The following is a 19,264-nucleotide window of genomic DNA, read 5'->3' on the forward strand; positions in this document are numbered from 1 at the left end:
TATGTAACAAACCTGCATGTTGTGCACATGTACCCTAGAAGTTAAAGCATAATAAAAAAAATGTGCCACATATACACCATGGAATACTATGCAGCCATAAAAAAGGATGAGTTGCTGTCCTTTGCAGGGACACGGATGAAGCTGGAAACCATTATTCTCAGCAAACTATCACAAGATCAGAAAACCAAACAGTGCATATTCTCACTTATAAGTGGGAGTTGAACAATAAGAACACATGGACATAGGGAGGGGAACATCATACACTAGGATCTGTGGGGGGTGGGGGACTAGGGGAGGGATAACATTAGGAGAAATACCTAATGTAGGTGATGGGTTGATGGGTGCAGCAAACCACCATGGCACGTGTGTACCTATGTAACAAACCTGCACGTTCTGCACATGTAACCCAGAACTTAAAGTATAATAATAATAATAATAATAATAATAATAATAATAATAATAATAATAAAAAGAACAACAACAGTTGTTCTTAGTGAGGGCCGGGCACGGTGGCTCATGCCTGTAATCCCAGCACTTCAGGAGGCCAAGGCGGGCAGATCACTTGAGGTCAGGAGTTCGAGACGAGCCTGGCTAACATAGTGAAATCCCGTCTCTACCAAAAGTACAAAAATTAGCTGGGCGTGGCGGTACGTGCCTGTAATCTCAGCTACTGGGGAGGCTGAGAGACGAGAATCACTGAAACCCAGGAGGCGGAGGTTGCAGTAAGCTGATATAGCACCACTGCACTCCAGCCTGGGCGACAGAGTGAGAATCTGTCTCAAAAAAAAAAAAAAAAAAAAAAAAAAGAACTAGGTGTAGTGAGGGTTTCACCTACTTAGCAGTCCTTATAGCCCCACCCTGATTCCTTCGTGCAGCATCCATGACCTGGAGCAATAATGAGACGCCTTTTGTAGTGTCTTCATTCAACATGTGTTCTGGGCTATTGTCTACTTCCTTCCATCAGATCCCTGCTCTCTCTGGTCCAACTACAGGTCACTTTCTTGTTTTTTAGTGTCATTATAGACTCATTTGTTCATTTTCCGTCATTTCCAAGGATTTCGGGCAGGTGGGGAAGACTACAGCATACTGTCTTGATTCCAGCTTTTAATATTCATTACATTTGTGGAGTTTCTCTTTAGTACGAATATTGTGGCAATAGCAGTAAAACAGATTTTTTTAAAAAAGGTGTTTTGAATAGTAAAAGCATATAATGTTTACGTTTGGGATGAAAGGCAAATACACAAATTCCATATTATAGCAATGTTCTACAAAGCTACCTTCCACCTAAAGACAGCCTCAGCTAAGTGAGATGTGGTAGCTGCTAATTAAATGATGTGTTTGTAAGGTTAAGCCAAAGTTCAGAAAGACTCACATAAATTATCAGTGTATCTATTAAAGTTTCTCCCTTGCTGAAGTAACAGATGTGTCTTCTTTAGAAAAAAGAAAAAAACAACTTTAAAATCCCACTTAAAAAAATAAACCTATCAACACCGGATTTCGGACAGCTAAGTGATGTGAAAGGCACACAGCTCTTGCATCCTTGTGATCTGAGATAAAATACTTTAATTCAAATGGTGGGAAAATATGGATAATTGGGAAAACGGTTTCCCAGAAAAGCCATAATGGCTTACTGGCTCTCTTTTCTTCCTTGCCATTCATATTAAGTCTTTTGGAAACGTTATTAGAGAGGACTGCATACTCTTTTTTCTCTGTCATGATTCTTACATAACAAAAACATTGCTAAAGAGATGAAAGCATTATATCCACATTAATAATTTTTTATTTCTTAAAAAAGTGAACTCAAAGCAGTAGAATTCAATCAATTCAACTGGCCACCCTTGAGTGAGTGAGGATTTGCCATCTATGTTTTCTGTCTGTTTTAGCAGATGAGCTTACCATGATAGATTGTTTGTGTGGGTGGTGGTGGATGAAAGAAGGAGACAAATATTCGATTAACTGAGCAGAGAAAACAGAACGCATCAAGAATTTTACTACCAAATTTTTAATCTGTTTTTCTTTGTCAGCTCTTACCCTAGATAAACATGCTTCACATTAATTAGATTTTGTGACTTTTAAAAAAAATTCAATCTGTGACTAAAAATTATTATATCAGCATTATTTCCTGGACCAACAAAGCAACATTTGGGACCAGGGGGGAGGGCGGGCCCCCCAACCCCCAACACATACAAGCACACAAAACACTATGGATTAAACTATCATTTTTATCATCACCCAAAACAGAAAATACTAGGTCTTCTCATTATCCTTTTATACTGTATAACATAATGCCAACTTCATAGCTAGGCCACCAGATGACAACATGAATGAAGTAATTCTGGGGTGTAGCCTGACGTCCTGGCCAAAAGCCACAAATAAGCCCAAAGTGTGATTGCTAGAAGAATTACGCCACTTTTAGAATTTAGATAAATTAATTGCAGAGCAATGAGAGTGGTACGGTGCTTTTCTCAAGCACATTATTATATCTTATTGGAACAGAAATCTGCTGACAATGCCACAGCCTGGAAGTACCAGCTTCTTAACTGTGACCAAAACCCTGGTCAATCTTCAGTCCTGAGAAATGTCCAAAGAGCATAATTAAAGAAATGTCCAAAGAGCACCTGAGTCATTTGGTTAATGGAATTTCCTCTGATGTTCCTCTGTGTCCATATTGACTTCAGAGCTCTTTTTTTCAGGCATAAATAGTTTTAGTTCTTTTTTTTTTGTTTGGGGGAAATGATCGATTTAGTTGTAGCCAAAAATTCTCTTATATTATTTGTGCTCTATGAAAGCAGAATGTCTGATCTGTTAATTGGAATATATAATTTTTGCCAGCTATGTTTCTGGACTAGTACATTAATCTTCTAAACTATGCTTGGTTTCTTCTAATATCAAGTCAATTCCTTTCTAAGCTTACTTCATGAAGGGGTTTTCCATGTTTTTGTACCAAGTCTCCACAAGTGTTACTCATAGAGAGCTGAATGGACTATTCATTCTTTTACTAAGGCATTTCTTGTGTCCTTTTATAGACAGGCTTTGCTAATAGAATAAACTAAGAAGATGGGGGGCATTTTGGGAGAGAGAACAGCTGGTATGAAGGCCATAGGTAAAAATAAATTTTATTTCCCCCCCAAACAATAAGAGCAAGTTACATTTAAAACATTGATTTTTCTTGGAAGATACAGGCACACACAGAGAAGGAGAGAGAAGTGGAGGGTGAGAAGGAGAGGGAGGAGGGAGAGAGAGACATATTGGTATTTATGTGTGTATCAGAATGGTACTCCTGGAGAGGAAATGCATCTCTTTAGCTCTGCTTTAATGGGATGGGGGCTGGTAACACTGGGGAATCATCTGAGTCCCCAGGGGCTCTGGGACTCCCTGAAGAGGGTGATTTAATCCCTGATATATGGATGGAATTAGCGTGGAGAGATGAAAGCGTGGGAGTAAATGAGTCTCTTGTGCCTCAACATTTGGATCCCCTCATCTGTGATCAAGCTCCATAATCAGGAAAGGGAGTCGAATTGGTCTTTTTTTTTTTTATCAGCAGTCAGAACGAACTGGTGTGCTGGTGATCCTTTATCTCCAGAAGATAGGTAGAAAGACTTCTGTGCATTGTCAAAGCTCTGGACTCCACCAAAGCTCTTTGATCTGGGAGAGGAGTGCACTGTTCTTAGAAGAGCTAGAAGGGACCAGAAACCACTGTTTCTTTTTTTCCCTCTAGGGTCTCCCCAGCCTGACCCTGGGGAGGTCCTAGAGGCTAAAATGAGAAACAGTGGTTTCTGGCGTCTCAAGGAGACATTGGAGCTGTACTGCACATGAAACTTCAGGGTGTCAGGAATGTCAGAAAAGGCCGTGTGGGCTAAAGGACTGAGCCTTGGTGCTGGGCCTGCAGAGGTCAATAGGCCCTGAGGGGGTGGAGTCATTCAGAGTCTCAGCCTTCTGCAGAGGCTTAGCCTGCTGTGCCACAGGCTGGACCTGAGCCACTTCCCTGAGGCAGGGAGGAGCAGGGCTGGGTCAACTGCAGTAGAAATTCAGAGTTTGACACTGAAAGACCCCATTGTGGCAGCAAAGGGTCACAGTGGCAGTGTGGCTCAGGCTGAGGGTAAGAATTTTTGTGTCTTTCATAGACAAGCTTTGAGGATACAACAAGCTAAAAAAGAGGGGCCCTTCTGGGAGAGAGAATGGAAGAGTCTTATTGGGTCTGAATGGAGTTCTTGGGCAAGGCACAGGACAGGGAGCGCAAAAGAGCAATACTAGCCATCTTGCCACTCAGGGACTTCGAAGTTTAATCAGTTTTGATTTAATTTGTTGAGATCACAGTGACACGACTATACCTCAAATGTTGTATTATGGAAAAGTTTGTCAGTCAATAGTTAAATTATTGCTATTTCATATTCATTATGAAATTATATTTAATGTTAATATCATTCATCCTTATCACAGTGTTACAAAACATAAATTTACCTCCATATCACGTTATGGGTTTTGAGTTTCTAATCTTATTAATGTTTTTTTTCAACTTGAACTTCTGAAAGTGCTGCCCAATTAGTAGGATATATCTTAGGGACTTAAGACCCAGAAGAAGGCACACAGCTCAGAACAGCAAGAAAACACTACCATCAAACAATGCTCACAGCTTCAGGTCTCCTCTATTTCAACCTCAGTCCCAAATTCCCCCTTTATAAATCTCTGGAAGACAAATTTTATCCCCTAAAGAATTTTTATAGATCAAAGCCACATTCCAATGAAAATCAGGTAGCAGCATCTATAAATCTCAGACCCCAGGAAGACAAACAAAAATCTCAATATAATAGTAATGGAAAGATTTTGTATTCTATAAACATTGGGAAAAAAACCTTTCTCCCAGTAAAAGCTGAATAAACTAAAATGAGATATAAGTGAGTCAAGTGAACTTAAAAGCATTTGCAATCACAAATTTTTAATATGCAAAAAATAGTTAATTATAAGCTTAGAATCTTTAGGGTAAGTGCACCCCTTTTGGCTTGTCTACGATAAGAATCATCAGTATTGATCTAAGTATGCTTTCGCCATTTAACAATATGCATTTAAAACACGTCCAGTAGAATAAATGTAAGTGCTACATACACAGCATGGGAGATAGCAATTACTTACCCTGTAGGCTGGCTCTCAAATTCTTCTGACCATTGCTCTTGAATATCTTCTGTGGAAAGATCTACATCCCTGGTGGTGGCAAAATTGAACTCGCTGCCTTCATTTCCATGGAAATAAATGGAGTTCCCATCTGACTGACAGCTATGCTGTAGGTGAAAAGAGAGCACGGGGTGGCTGTTGAATTGGTGTTGTAGCTGTATCTGTCTTACTCATGTATAATTAGAGTTTTTAGAAAAGTTATTATATTAGCTCCTCTATGATGGACTCTCAAATCAAAAGAGCTTGTTACCTCTTTTTTGCCTTGTTTAATTCAATTACAATTTCTTTCTAACCTATTAAGTTATCACAAAAAAGGAGTCAAGGGGGCATTTGAGCTTTGCCATCTCTGTCTTCAGTATGAAACAAGAGTATTTCAATTGGAATAATTTCCCATCTTTACCACTGTCCTTGTTGTGGGAATTAAATTTGATAATGACTTGTCATGTATTTCAAATTCTGTGGTTATCGGCTAAATAGCATTGACCTTTTCAATATTCCATATATTTCTTACTTGCCATTCAAGTCTTTCACAATTTATCTGTAAATGGAATATGAGTAGAACAGCCAGCTAATCTAAACATGCAATGTAGAAAAGGTCAAAGTAAACCCAGATATAATCACATATTCTCAACCAGTTTCTGAGTAAAAGTTTCTGACCAGACCTAAAAAGTGCATACTATCCCAAATGAGGAACTGGGAAACTATGAACTTTGTTAATCCCCAAAAGAACACATAAAAAATAAGGAAAATATATTTCTTGTGATACTTTTTCTAAAGAAATTTTTTTTTCAGCTTGAAGAGAATAAAGGCAAGATCAAACTTTGGAGATAGTAAATGTTAGTTACTTTAAAAAATTATTATAAGTTTGCATTAACATTTTTTGGTAATAAGTCATATATAGAGAGATGCTTGGGGCTGGGCATGGGAAGCTAAAACAATAAAAAGGAGAAATAAAAAGAGAAATGCTATACATGAAACATCAAACATTCTTTTAAGTTTTATATACTCTTAAAATGAAACAGAGATGAAAAAAACCAACTGGACAAAACCTATCAGTCAAGCCTAGGGACTGTGAGTTCTGTAGGGCAAGGACAATGTCCATTTTGTTCCTTGTTATATTCCAGGTCTTAGCACAGTGCCTGGCATATAGCAGGCATTAAAAAATGTTTGTTAAATAGTTCAACAAATGAATGAGGGAATGACATGGAAATGCCCTTTAAGGTAATTATATTTTTAAAAGAAGATAAATTTATTGTGTATGCCTAAGATATATAACATGATTTTCTAAGACACATACAGTCATGTACCACATAACAATGTTTCAGTAAATGACAGACCGCATATACAATGGTGGTCCTATAATATTATAATGGAGCTGAAAAATTTCTATCACCTAGTGATGTCATAGTTATCATAACATCATGGCATAATACATTACTCATGTGTTTTTGGTGATGTTGGTGTAAATAGACCTACTGTGCTGCCAATCCTATAAAAGTATAGCATATAAAATTATGTATGGTACATAATATTTGAAAATCATAATAAGCGACTTTTGGGTGTGGAGGGAAGTATTGCTCTTTGAAAATTCTCTTCTTTAGAGTCTTAATAGACTGACATATTACCAAAGAAAGGCTGCAACACACCCAAAGGAAGCAGCCATCCTTCAGTGGGAGGTGGCTAGATGTTCTCTATCTCTTAGCAAGATGGGACTGTCACTCTCTAGGGAGCAAGGTCTGGAGATGCACAGAACCCACACAGCTACAGATGGCTTGCTCTGCTCCTCACCATGCTAAGGAGATCAAGATATGATTTCTACCTCTGCCATTCTGAATAGAACCCAGTGTTCTCAAGGTTTGCAGTGGTAAAATGCTCTTTTAAGGATATATGAGCCCATAGTATACTGGGCCTGTAAAACTGGGGATGGTCTTAGTGAAACCAGTGAATTCCTGAGCTATTTGAGAGCAACGGGTGTACTGAGTCTCCATTTCTTTCTAAGGAGTTGATAATCATAGGCCCTGTATTTTGGAGCCTTAGCCAGCGTAGGGGGCCATATTAGGGTTCTCATTCTGAGAACGCCTAAATCAATTACAAGACAAGTTAGAATTTCATGTTAATTCTGTTTTAGGATTGGGCACAGCGGGCTTGGTGTCTTGGAATTAGCCTGCTTCCTAGATGCTCTCCAAACTACAAATTTATGCCTGAATGCATTCAGATTGAGATAGTGTCCCCGGTCCTTGCTTGCTTTCTATCTGCATTTCTGGCTCTGAATGGGAATCCACGGCTTCCTTGGTTAGGCATTGCTTGAGCTTTCTCCTAGAATCTAACTCAATTAAATTCAGCACCTACATGAAGTGAATAAATTAAGATCGGAAAAGAACAAAAATTGGAAACCAAAAACAATCAAGATGATAAGGACTGAAATCCCTCAAGGAGTTTCAGGATTGGGATTAGAAAGCGTGTTGAAATATTTTCTCTATTTAATGGCTCCATGTTTTTGTAGAAGCCATTTAACCCCTCTACGCCTCGGTTTCTCAGGTTGTAGAATGGAACCAATAATATCTACCTGCTAGAGGTGTTGTTAGTGGCACAAATAATATATGAGGAAATGCATTTTGAAACTTCTAAGTGCTACAAAATAATCATTATTTCTAAATATACATATTTTTTCAAAACCATGCTATTATATTCCATATGCCTAGCAAAGGTGATGGAAAAATAGAAGAGCATTTCAATCTATTTTAAACTATTTTTCATCAGAATAGTCATTAAAATTCTTTGGATCAACTTAAAACCTTTAGTAACATGCATGGAATATGTTCCACAATACAACAGGTAAAAATACTGCAAACATTCATTCATCTTCAGGGCAGACTGAATCATTAATTAGAACTTTAAAAGCCCTCCTCCAAATTTTGGCAGATTATCAAATATTCTCCTAAAACAGGAAAACTTAATGCAAGATGTCTGATGCCACTTTTCTTACAGGTAAGTTTGCATTGTATAACATCGATCTACTATGTTAAAAATCCAAATGAAACATTCATTGAAAGTATGAAAAGAATTTTAAAAAATTGGTCTCGATTTTAATACCCAGCTATTTTTGTTCAACACCTATTCGAACTCCTATCATTTATATGCAATAACAATTCAAATCTAAACAACTTCAAAACCAATTAAATGTGTAACTTTGTAAGATACATGAGCTCTTGATATGAAAAAAACAAGAATTTTTGGAATTCAGGACTATTTTACTTTGAGCATCATGAAAATCTACTAGGTTTTCTTTAGCAGATGATTCTAAATCACATGTGATTTCCTGAGCCACAGCTTTTGATTGACATATGGTGAATATATATCAAGCTACTAAGCATTTATTTGGGGTAAAATAAAGGTATAAATTCTGCAGCTGGTTCTAAATTTTTATTTGTATTTCTAGCACTCCTAATGTACATTATTATATAATTATAATTGTTTGTACTTGTTTCATTATTTTAGCCTTGATCAATGACATACACTTTATGCTTCTAAGTACTAGTAGGTTACCGATTTCTAAAGTCCCTTAAGTATGGCTCTTATGTGTTTCTCTTTGTCAATCAAAAATATTTTCCTACTTTGCCACTAAATGGATTTCCTTTACTTGAGAAGCAGAACACAGAGTAACTAAGTGACAAGAATTTGCCATTCAGAAAATCATCAACAGGAAACATCAGTGCAAATTCTTCAATATAACAAGTCCTTGGCCACAACTCAGGATAGCAGTTTTCTAAGGTTGCTCCCTATACTCTGCTGAAAATGTTAATGACTTCACCTCTGTACTTGTAAAAGTGCTTACATTTGCCTCTACCATTGTTTTATTAGGTTTTCATCAAAGATGAACACCGAAGCACCTCTTAATATGATCTCCCTGGGGTCTAATGACCCTGATGATTCTTTCAGGCATCTGTAGCCTTACCATTTATTCTTTGACGATATCCTTTTTGTTGGAATGAGGGTATTGGGCATTTGGGCAATGCCAGCTTGCAGAGAGCTGGTGGCAGATGGAATGAAATCTGCCTGGTATGCCTTCCCCTCCACATGAGCAGAGAGCCATCCATTTCCTCCATTAAGGAGTTGTCACTCAGCCCACCCAGCTGGAAGACCATTTTTGATAGCCAAGCTGGCTGGTGGCAGACAATTCAAATACAAAGTGCGCTTTAAAAGGAAGCTAAAACATCATTTGTAGGAAAATTGAAAATGCATGGCTTCCACCACAGCCAATTTTTTAATGACTGTAATATTTTAAGTGATTATTTTTGCCACTTCAGATTGCTCCTTAGAGAGGAGAGGTTTTTTAATTAAAATCTAGGCAATGCAAACAGATGAGATATGAGGAACACAGGAAAGAGAAATAAGATGAATAAAATTAATTAAAATGGCATTGTTGGCAGAGTCATAAATTAGCCACTGTCTGGCTGGAAATAAAATATATTGGTATAGGAATTTCTGTATTAAAGTGAGATGTGTGCTACAGCCATTGGAAATTGACTAATTTATAGTCTACATATTATTGTGTTTTTCAAGTCTTTTACTATGCTATACCCATTATCATATAGAAATACATATTTCCTACATCCCAGTTCAACAGACTTTAAAGGTATAGACTTTCATGCTATATTAAAAGAAAACTTAAAATAGAAAGAGAACGATTTCTCTCATGAGGCAAAATAAATTTCTATCATTTTCCACACATTCAATTTCTAAGAATTTAATGGCAGTTAAAAAACTGAAAACTTGGCTATAAATACAGTCCAGGTGCAGGAGGGCTGAAGTGCATTTTCTCTAGTCAACACAATAGATTCAACCATGGTGAGTGAATTTTATGGAGCTTAAGGAGTGTTTTTTTTCTCATTAATTTCTGGATTCATTAAACACATTTGAACTACTTTGTACTACGATTTTTAAAGATTCAATTTATGGTATATTTTGTGACAAGTGTATAATTATTTGGCAATAATTATGACAACTCTAAAATGGCAATAGTGACAGATTTGAATTGGAGTAATGAGAGGCAGAATAACAATGTAAAATTCCAAAGAGCAGTTGTTAACCTTGTCTTTGGGGATCAACTTGACTTTCACAGTGTTGGAGGCTTTTAGACTTGCCTCCTCAAATTAAGGGCAAAGATGCCAGGCACAGTGTGGGAGACTGCAAGATAACATGGAGTGGTTGGGTTTTACAGTAAAATAGACCTGGCTTTGAAAGTTAGAGCTATTTGATCTTGGGGAAGCCATTTGGCATCTCCGAGCCTCTGTTTTTTCATCTGTGAAATGGGGATAATTGTGAGCATTAGATAAAATACTGCAGGGAACATGCCTAAAGATTGCTGAGTCTTAGGAAATTTGTAAACACTATTTCCCTCCTGATTTTTTTCCCCATCTTCATTCATTAACAAACCTTACTTTAATGAATGAATGTCACTATGCAAGCTATTGTGCTAGGTGCCATGCTAGGTACAAAGATGATAGAAACTGTAACTATGTTTTTAATGTTCATTTGGAATAAATTTCACCTACTGAATATTGTGTTAACTCAATTAGTGATTGAATGTGTCAGCCTCAGACCAAATAAATAAATAAATAAGGCAAAAGATGCATTAGGCAGGGAGCTTCTGCATATTTGTTTAAATGATTATTTTCTGTATAAATTATCAAAATTAGTTGTTTCTGTGCTATTGCCACTCTTGTCATGGCGATCTGGCTCATTTCCATGTTTCACTAATGTTATTCCACATTAATTACTGTACAAATAGGCCTCATTGGGGGGAATTGTGAAAAGCACACTACTTACATTTAACCCTTCAGCCCCAAAGTCCTCTTATTAGCTTAACAAATTATATTCTGGCTCATTCTACAATATCTTATACCCACCTCTTGGGGGAAACATGACAATAAGAGCAATACGATCCAAAGTGAAGAACATCCCAAGCAAAGGGAATTTAGGTAGACAGCATGCAATTAACCATGCTGGAATCTGGCCAGGAAATCATAGTTAACATTCTGATTCTTAATGAAAAAAGACATGGGAACATGGGCTAGCCACAAGTCTAACTGAGCTCAGGTTTATCCTCATTAGAAAGCCACCACTCAAATCCCTCAAGTTACACACTAGATAGTTTCCAGTAAAGTGATAATGCAAAGCACATTTCTGAAAAGTAAATCTGATTTTCTCTTATTTGTCCTGTATATTGTCAGAATATAAAACCATCAAGTGAACTGCTGAAACCTTTTTTCTGAGGTGCCCAATTGAACATTGCATGGAAGATGAATTAGGTATGATAGTATTGCTGTGTCAGGGGGTTATATTTCCAAAAAGTAGGTTTAAAGGTGAATTCTACCTTGAGTGTGATCTTTCCTTTCACCATTTGTCTTAGATTTTTTTCATTAGCTTTAACTTGTGTTAAGGCTAAATTTTTCGGACAAATTACATTTTTTTTCATAATTTGATATATTTTTTCTCCATTGATGGTTCAGCAATTGTGACAACAGTACTAGATGGGTGACAGCAGAAGCCCAGAATAAAAGATTCAGTTCTTATTCAGGACTGGAGACTTGCCTAGTGTCCACTGGGACAATGAATTTGGCAAATGCATAAGGTACAAGAGCAACAGAAAATTAATAGACTCTTGTGTTCAGATTTAATGCTTCCCCTTAATGGGTTGCTGATTTACCTAACGTCTGTTGTCTTCATTAGGGCCTTTTGATGTTTGTTAAACTAGAAAAATTGTCTTTATTATTGGATATTTATCAATAGTAAAGGTAGTAAAGGGGAGGCAGTCAAATTCAAAGTAGTAGTAGAGGAAACATTAAGATATGACCCTTCTAAATTCAGTAACTTAGTTACTCTAAATCCTTGATATTAGTTTGCAAAATTTAACAAATTACTTTTTTTAAAAAATAAAATGTCTTTTAAATACATGTGATCAAATCACAGCCTATTCTAAAGGAGAAACAGAGTAATCAGACATTTAGTGCTGATTTACTTCTTAAAACAAGTTGACATAAATGTGTAGAAAAGGTAATCTGGAATTCTTTGCTATCCACACAATGAACTAGGGTAATAAAGAGAAAAAGATTAGCAGGTGCAGGCACAGCAATCAGAGTGGGAAGATTTCTTAAAAATAAAAAAAATGTGGAAAGTATCTATCTCATAGTGATCTGCGTTTAATCTGTAGGTCAATTCCAGAGTTGACAGAAGCCAGTGATTTATGCCTTTGCAAGCTGAGGGTAACCACGATAGCTGAGCAGATATAAACATTTATTAACTGTGAGTGAGCAAAGCACTTTTTCTCTTTTGAAAACACAGACACACACCCACACAAACACACACACACCAAGTGTTCAAAGATGATTCACGCTTTCAAAATAAAAATTTTGGCTGCCACCAAAGACGAGCGTAAACAAACAAAATGAAGCAGCTGCCAGACCAATATTCACTTCCATGGCATATTGATCCATTCAGAAACACTGCTTCATGGGGTACTATTAAAGGATGAGGAAAACAAAAAAATAAAAACAAAAAGCCCTGCTCACAGCTCTTTCCAAATCAATTGTCCCTGGGTTCTCTGCGACGTGCTTCACTGACCTTTGCAGCTCTTGATGATAACTTGTGGAAAGCAGGCAGCTGCAGCAGCTCCAGGCTGACGCTCTGAAAACTTACATCTAATGTTTTTCTTTCAACTTAAAATTAAGAATATTCTCAGATTGCAGGATGTGTATTTGAGGAGTTGGGAAGAGATGACTTCGATGGACTTGCCTAGATGTTTCAAGAGTGACTGAGGAAAACTGAACATTGAGCATCCAGGGTTTTTACAGACACAAAATGTTCATCTACTCTAGATATAAAACTGGATGGCAAGATCTTCCTCATGGTGCTGGCATCTACAAAGTATTCATGAAATGCTATCAATACTTCTACTATCATTATTATTACTATTATTTATCATAACTATGGTTACTACTATTTATTGTTATTATTTTTAATCACTATGCAGTGTTCATGCCACTGCAAGTATCATTCCTGAATATGAGAATTCTGCCCAAGGTGATACGTTGAATCTTGTTACTGTATATCTTAAATGGAAGGAGTGAAAAAAAAAATCAGTTCATAGCCTTTAATCCTTGACGGTAAAACCAAGGCCATTCTCACAGAGCTGGTGCACTAGATGTTCCTTGAGATTAATCATTCCCCCACTACAGGGAGGAAGAATGTGCCTTTCGTTCTTAAATGTGGAACACCCATCCACAACCACATGACAGAGGCCCTGCCATGGCAGGAACAGCTATTCTAGTAACTGCAGATGATGAGCTGATACAGTGTACCCCTTATCTTTAGAATAGGAGCAGCTGGAAAAAAATACTTGATTATTCTAGAAATCATATACACAAGTACAAAGAAGGATACAATATTCTGTGAAAGAGAGCAAAACCATCGTAAACAACAGTTGTGACAGGTGATTTGATACTGAGTGAGTTTCAGGCACCTTCCTTTGCTGAGTGCATGAGCTGCTTACTCTGGGAGATTACGAATGAGGGTGGGGCTCTGGGGAGCTTTTGAACTTGTAGCACTATATTTATTGGTATTTAAAGCCCTACCTCCTTGATAGTGAACAAAAGGCTGCTTAGGGATTTGTGGGAAATAAAAAATTATGATGGTAATTAGAAGCAGGATAGGAATGTGGTACACCTTTTCTTCCACATGGGAAGTTCTCTGTAAAAACACTGTAAGATGAGTCAGGCAAGGCCACGGACTTGGAAAAAGAAAGGAGGAGAAACAGATGGTGACATAAAGAATAGATTAATTCTGTAACCATTTACAGTCCTCCTCAGCTTTCCAACCCCAATTCAAAAAGCACAACAAATATAAGGCCAGGTTCTACATTAAAAGCTGATAGTGTTATACATCTATTTCATATTAATTACTAAAAAAGCCAACAGATGGTAAAGCCTTCTACCAACCCAGGGCTGACTTCAACTTGTGACCTACAATTATAATTCTCCAAATCATATAAAGTCCTGAAGCTAATTACTCTATTTGAAACTATTTGGTCTTATATCTGAAACTATTTGGTCTTATATCATTCTTCCCTACTTGAGATAAACAAGAATAGGCTCAGATGAAATGGTTTAGATAGTCCCCCCCGCCAAAAAACAGAAAGAAATATCTAAAGAAGACAAGAGTAATATGTACTGTGAATGACAATGGTTTATTTTTCTCTTTTCTATTTGACCTGCCACTGTCAACATTATTTTCAAGATCAGCAGTGGAGTGTTTACATACTCACTACTCTGTGTATTCCCTTGTTTTATTGACAGTAGCATTAAAACAGTCATTCGTAGGCCAGGAGCAGTGGCTCACACCTGTAATCCCAGCACTTTAAGAGGCTGAGGTGGGTGAATCACTTGAGGTCAGAAGTTCCAGACCAGCCTGCCTAACATGGCAAAACCCCATCTTTACTAAAAGTACAAAACTTAGCCGGGTGTGGTGGCGCACACCTGTAGTCCCAACTACTCAGGAGGCTAAGGCACAAGAATCACTTGAATCTGGGAGGTGGAGGCTGCAGTGAGACGAGATCATGACACTGCACACTAGTCTGGGCAACACAGCAAGACTCTTTCTCAAAAAATAACAATAAAAACTAAAATAAAAAGAAAAAATCATTTGTAGTTAATAAAACTAGTATACTTTAACAGTATCTACTATTTAATATTTTCTTATTTCGTCATGACAACATGAGGTGGATACTAGTATTATTCCTGTTATAGGCAAGGACACTGAGAGGTTAAATAGCTTACCCAAGACCACATGGCTAACAAATGGTTAAGCCAAGATTTGAACCCAGACAAGTTTTAACAATTATGTTATATCCAGTCCCTTTCATAACATTTTCAGTGTCTTTAAGTCATCACTGAATTAAAAATTAATCTTCCTGCCTTATAAACTAGACCCTCTTGATATTTTTCCAGCTTTTCTAGGTTGTCTGAGATCCTGTCCCAGTGGGATCACGAAGGGGCAAGGAGCCCTCAGCACAAAAATGTTGTATTCATTAGCCAGAGATGCAATGCTAAGAGAGGAAGCATGCATGATCTGCCTGAGAGATGCTTTGGGGTGAGTGAGCCCCAGCTTTGGTGAAGAGTGGGAGGATTTCCAGAGAATCTACTGGTAGATTCCACAGAAAGCCAGTTTTGATCACTTGCCAGGCCCAGGAATCAATGCCAGCTCACAATAATACCTGCCTCTTGCCTCTTCTTCTTCTTCCAGATCCAACCCTGGAGGATTAAGGATCTGAAACTAGTTGGGATTGGGGGTGGTGAGTGAGGAGGGAGAAGGAGCTGACCACTGTCCCCATTTCTACTGCAGGAGACCTACATTGGAGGTGAGCAGCTGTGGATGAAATCTGGAGCTTGCATTATCATCCTTAACTGATCATATTGATAGTGAACTGAGGTATCTGGGAGACTAAAGTAACTCGATGACTCTTTTGGTCTATCAGCAGTCTTGGGACCTACCCTAGTTTCATGCAAAGAGGGCAGGGATAAAGGAGCTGCCACAGCAAATTTGAATGACCAGTGGAAAAAGAGTGGCATTTTTTTTTTCTGTCACCTGTCCCCACCCCGACAAGTCCTGTTTGTTCAACTTAATGGTTCCACTAGCACAAAGAGGAGGGAGACATTAGCTATGCAAAACTTCTCAGAGACAATGGCATTTGAACTGAGCCCCTAAAGATGGAGGGGAATTACTAGGAAGGGAATAGAGAAATGTTGAAAACCACACCTAAAGGAATGTGAGTGAGATTTTCTGAGTTGGTTGTATTTGTGACGCTGGAGCACAGTGGATCAGGAGATGAGGATGAAAATTAGGCTGGATGACTAACTACAATAGCAAAGACTTGGAACCAACCCAAATGCCCATCGATGATAGACTGGATAAAGAAAATGTGGCACATATACACCATGGAATACTATGCAGCCATATGGAAGGATGAGTTCATGTCCTTTGCAGGGACATGGATGAAGCTGGAAGCCATCATTCTCAGCAAACTAACACAGGAACAGAAAACCAAACACCACATGTTCTCACTCATAAGTGGGAATTGAACAATGAGAACACATGGACACAGGGAGGGGAACATCACACACTGGGGCCTGTCGGGGGGTTGGGGGGCAAGGGGAGGGAGAGCATTAGGACAAATACTTTATGCATGTGGGGCTTAGAAGCTAGATGACGGGTTGATAGGTACAGCAAACCACCATGGCACATGTATACTTATGTAACAAACCTGCATGTTCTGCACGTGTATCCCAGAACTTTAAGTATATATAAAAAAAGAACTATAACAAAATCCAGCAAAATAAAAAAAAAATAAAAAATAAAGGATGAAAAAAGGTAAAAAAAATTAAAAAGAAAGAAAATTAGGCTGGATAAAAATTGGAAAGGGCCTTGAATTATAAGTGAGGGATTTTGGCTTGTATCCTCTAGGCCTACATAGGAAGTCATCAAAGGTCTTAAGCATGGAGGCAGCATAATGTAATTTGTGTTAAGGAATGATGCTAGAGTTTTTGCCAGTGGCATCCCTTTGGATGATCCTTGGTTCCAACATCTTGCCAGGCAGTTGGCTACATTAGACTGTTGATTTATCTTTCTTTATTGTTCCAAGGCCCCTACTCTATTTCATCTCCTCTGTAGATTACTGAAAACACCTCCTGCCTTCATAAGGGAAATATTTTAATACTTTTTCTTCCTTAAATACACAATAGTTTGCCCATCAGTAGCTAAGATGAACCAGGAACTAGAATTTTGAAAACAAAATCAGCTGTTACGATGTGGAAGAAAGGGAAGCAAACAGTGTTTGGGCTGCACTTGCTAAACTGTAATGTATAACAAAACCAGTCTTCTGGAGGAAGGAACAGGTGGTACGCATGGAACAAAGCTGGAGCAAGATCAAGAGACTTGAGAAAAACAAGAATCTTTTAACCTACAGCCAGAGAGTGATGGGGGAGAAAACACACAGATAATTTAACAGGTGGATGTTGGGAAGAAACACAAGACAATCAAGAAGCACGTCAGTTACTCACTACTTGTGACAGCAAAGCTATGTGGCAACTGAGAGCAAGAGTTCTAAAGTCAGTTCCTGGATTTGAATCCTTACCCTGCTTCTGGTGAGAGATGTATTTTGGACAAGGTATTTAACACCTCTATGTTCCACTTTCCACATATGAAAAATGGGACTAACACAGCATCTTCTTTACAGGTTTATAAGGATCCAGTTAAATGAGATGATGATGATGATGATGATGATGATGATGATGATGGCGACGACGATGATGATGTGTGTGTGTGTGAGTCTGGAATGGTGAGTGCCTAGAACAGTAAGTGTTCAATAAAAAGTAGCTTTTATTACTTGGTCAAAGTTAATCTTATCTGTGTTTGGAAATTTTTCCGTAAATAGCTCCATTTTATAATTAAGCATTGCTGTTAGATGTACTCTTTGAGATAATCAAGATGGAAACACCTTGGAAATTTTTTTTTCAGATCATAGCTCACTGCACCTTGAAGTCCTGGGCTCAAGCAATGGTCCCATCTCAGCCTCTGGAGTAGCTGGGACTACAGGTGTGCACCACCATGCCTGGCTAGTTTTTTTTTTTTAATTTTTGTAGAGACAGGGTCTCTCTATGTTGTCCAGGCAAGTCTTAAACTTCTGGCCTCAAGTGATCCTCCCACTTTGGCCTCCCAAAGTGCTGGGATTACAAGCATGATCCTCTGTGCCTGGCCATCTTGGAAACTTTTAATGAGTAGGTTGAACAAAAAATACAACTCCAAAAACTAAAAGTCCAAAATAAAACAATGTTTTAAACACACCTCATGACCAATAGGAACACTGAGATATGCTTTCTAATTTGCTGTATTTAGTTTTCACCTCAGAGGCCATCAAGTAAAGAAACAATATTTGACAAACAAGTTGCATATAGTCTAAAGAAACAATTTTTATTTCTAGAATTCCAAATCACTTGGCAAAAGCAATTCTTTCATTCTCAGATGGTGGAACCAAAAAACAAAAGGGCAGTCATGTAAATGAACTAAAATGACAAATTCTTAGATATTATGAATGCATTTATTTGAAGTTTTAAGAAGAAACATCAGAGAAAAATTTCTACTTAACGGCCAAGTCAAAGATAATGTTATAAATCATTACTACAATGATTTTTTTTCCCTTAATAGACATAGGTCACTCGGCAAGTCTCAAATGTGTGATTGGAAAGCTTATGAGTAGGATGAGGGACCACAAAGCAAAGCATATTCCACATAAAGTTGTAATATAATTAAAATTACTACCGAAGCAAAACCACACCTCATGCATTTTTATCATGGGTGGTAACAAAGTACATGCAATGAGAAACCAAATAGCTAATTAGATTAGTGTAATGGCTTGTAAAATGAAACAGAGGGTACATTTATGCCATAAAGGGTACTCAGACCAAATGATAAATGACCATCATCACAAAATGATGTGAATCCCAGGCCCCGAGGTCTCCTGGGTTTATGCATCTGCTTGCCAGTGTTGAACAATGACAGCAGAAATTCCTCTTTTAATCAAGTGGTAGTGGGATATGACATACGCTATTCTGACGAATGTTTTTTTCTAGACTCATACAAAAGAAATCCATGGCTCTTGAAGGAGCCATGACTTCAGACTCAATCAGAATAAATTTCCATAAGGTTTACTGCTTGTATTGAGCAAAGATGATGCCTGTTCCTAATGTCAATTAGTATACTTTCAAATCAAAGCAACATGACTAGGGTTTGACTTGTTAAGCAAGAAGTCATTTCCATCAGGAGAGTTCCTGTGTTGAGGGTTCACCAAATAATTTGTAATAGTTTTTCTGGTGCTCAACTCTATTATTAAAAGGAGGTGAGCATTCTCGATCTTTCTATTCTACTTGCTACTTTTCTTGTGATCCTCACCCCTTTCTAGCTCGGGATGTTCTGTAAGCCGTGAGACACATGTTAAAAAATTCTCCAAGCTGTGTTTGTATTTTATTTTCATATGTTGGAAACT

The 19,264-nt window shown here is 37.8% G+C and overlaps 1 protein-coding gene across 2 annotated transcripts in view, besides 1 other annotated feature; it reads right to left on the reverse strand.

Moving 5' to 3' along the window:
• Positions 1 to 19,264, reverse strand: part of RELN (reelin) — a 517,870-nt gene that overhangs the window by 205,197 nt on the left and 293,409 nt on the right. For both annotated transcript variants that reach the window (NM_173054.3, NM_005045.4), the window contains exon 11: positions 5,131 to 5,276. In NM_173054.3, coding sequence (NP_774959.1) covers positions 5,131 to 5,276 — 146 coding nt within the window. The remainder of the gene's footprint in view (positions 1 to 5,130; positions 5,277 to 19,264) is intronic.
• Positions 3,817 to 4,111: an enhancer, noted in NCBI's record as "tiled region #11588; K562 Activating DNase unmatched - State 5:Enh". NCBI's record gives its function as "activates a minimal TATA promoter and a strong SV40 promoter by Sharpr-MPRA in K562 cells {active_cell/tissue: K562}" and the evidence as "EXISTENCE:reporter gene assay evidence [ECO:0000049][PMID:27701403]".

Source organism: Homo sapiens, chromosome 7, assembly GCF_000001405.40.
Source record: "Homo sapiens chromosome 7, GRCh38.p14 Primary Assembly".
Taxonomy (NCBI): domain Eukaryota; kingdom Metazoa; phylum Chordata; class Mammalia; order Primates; family Hominidae; genus Homo; species Homo sapiens.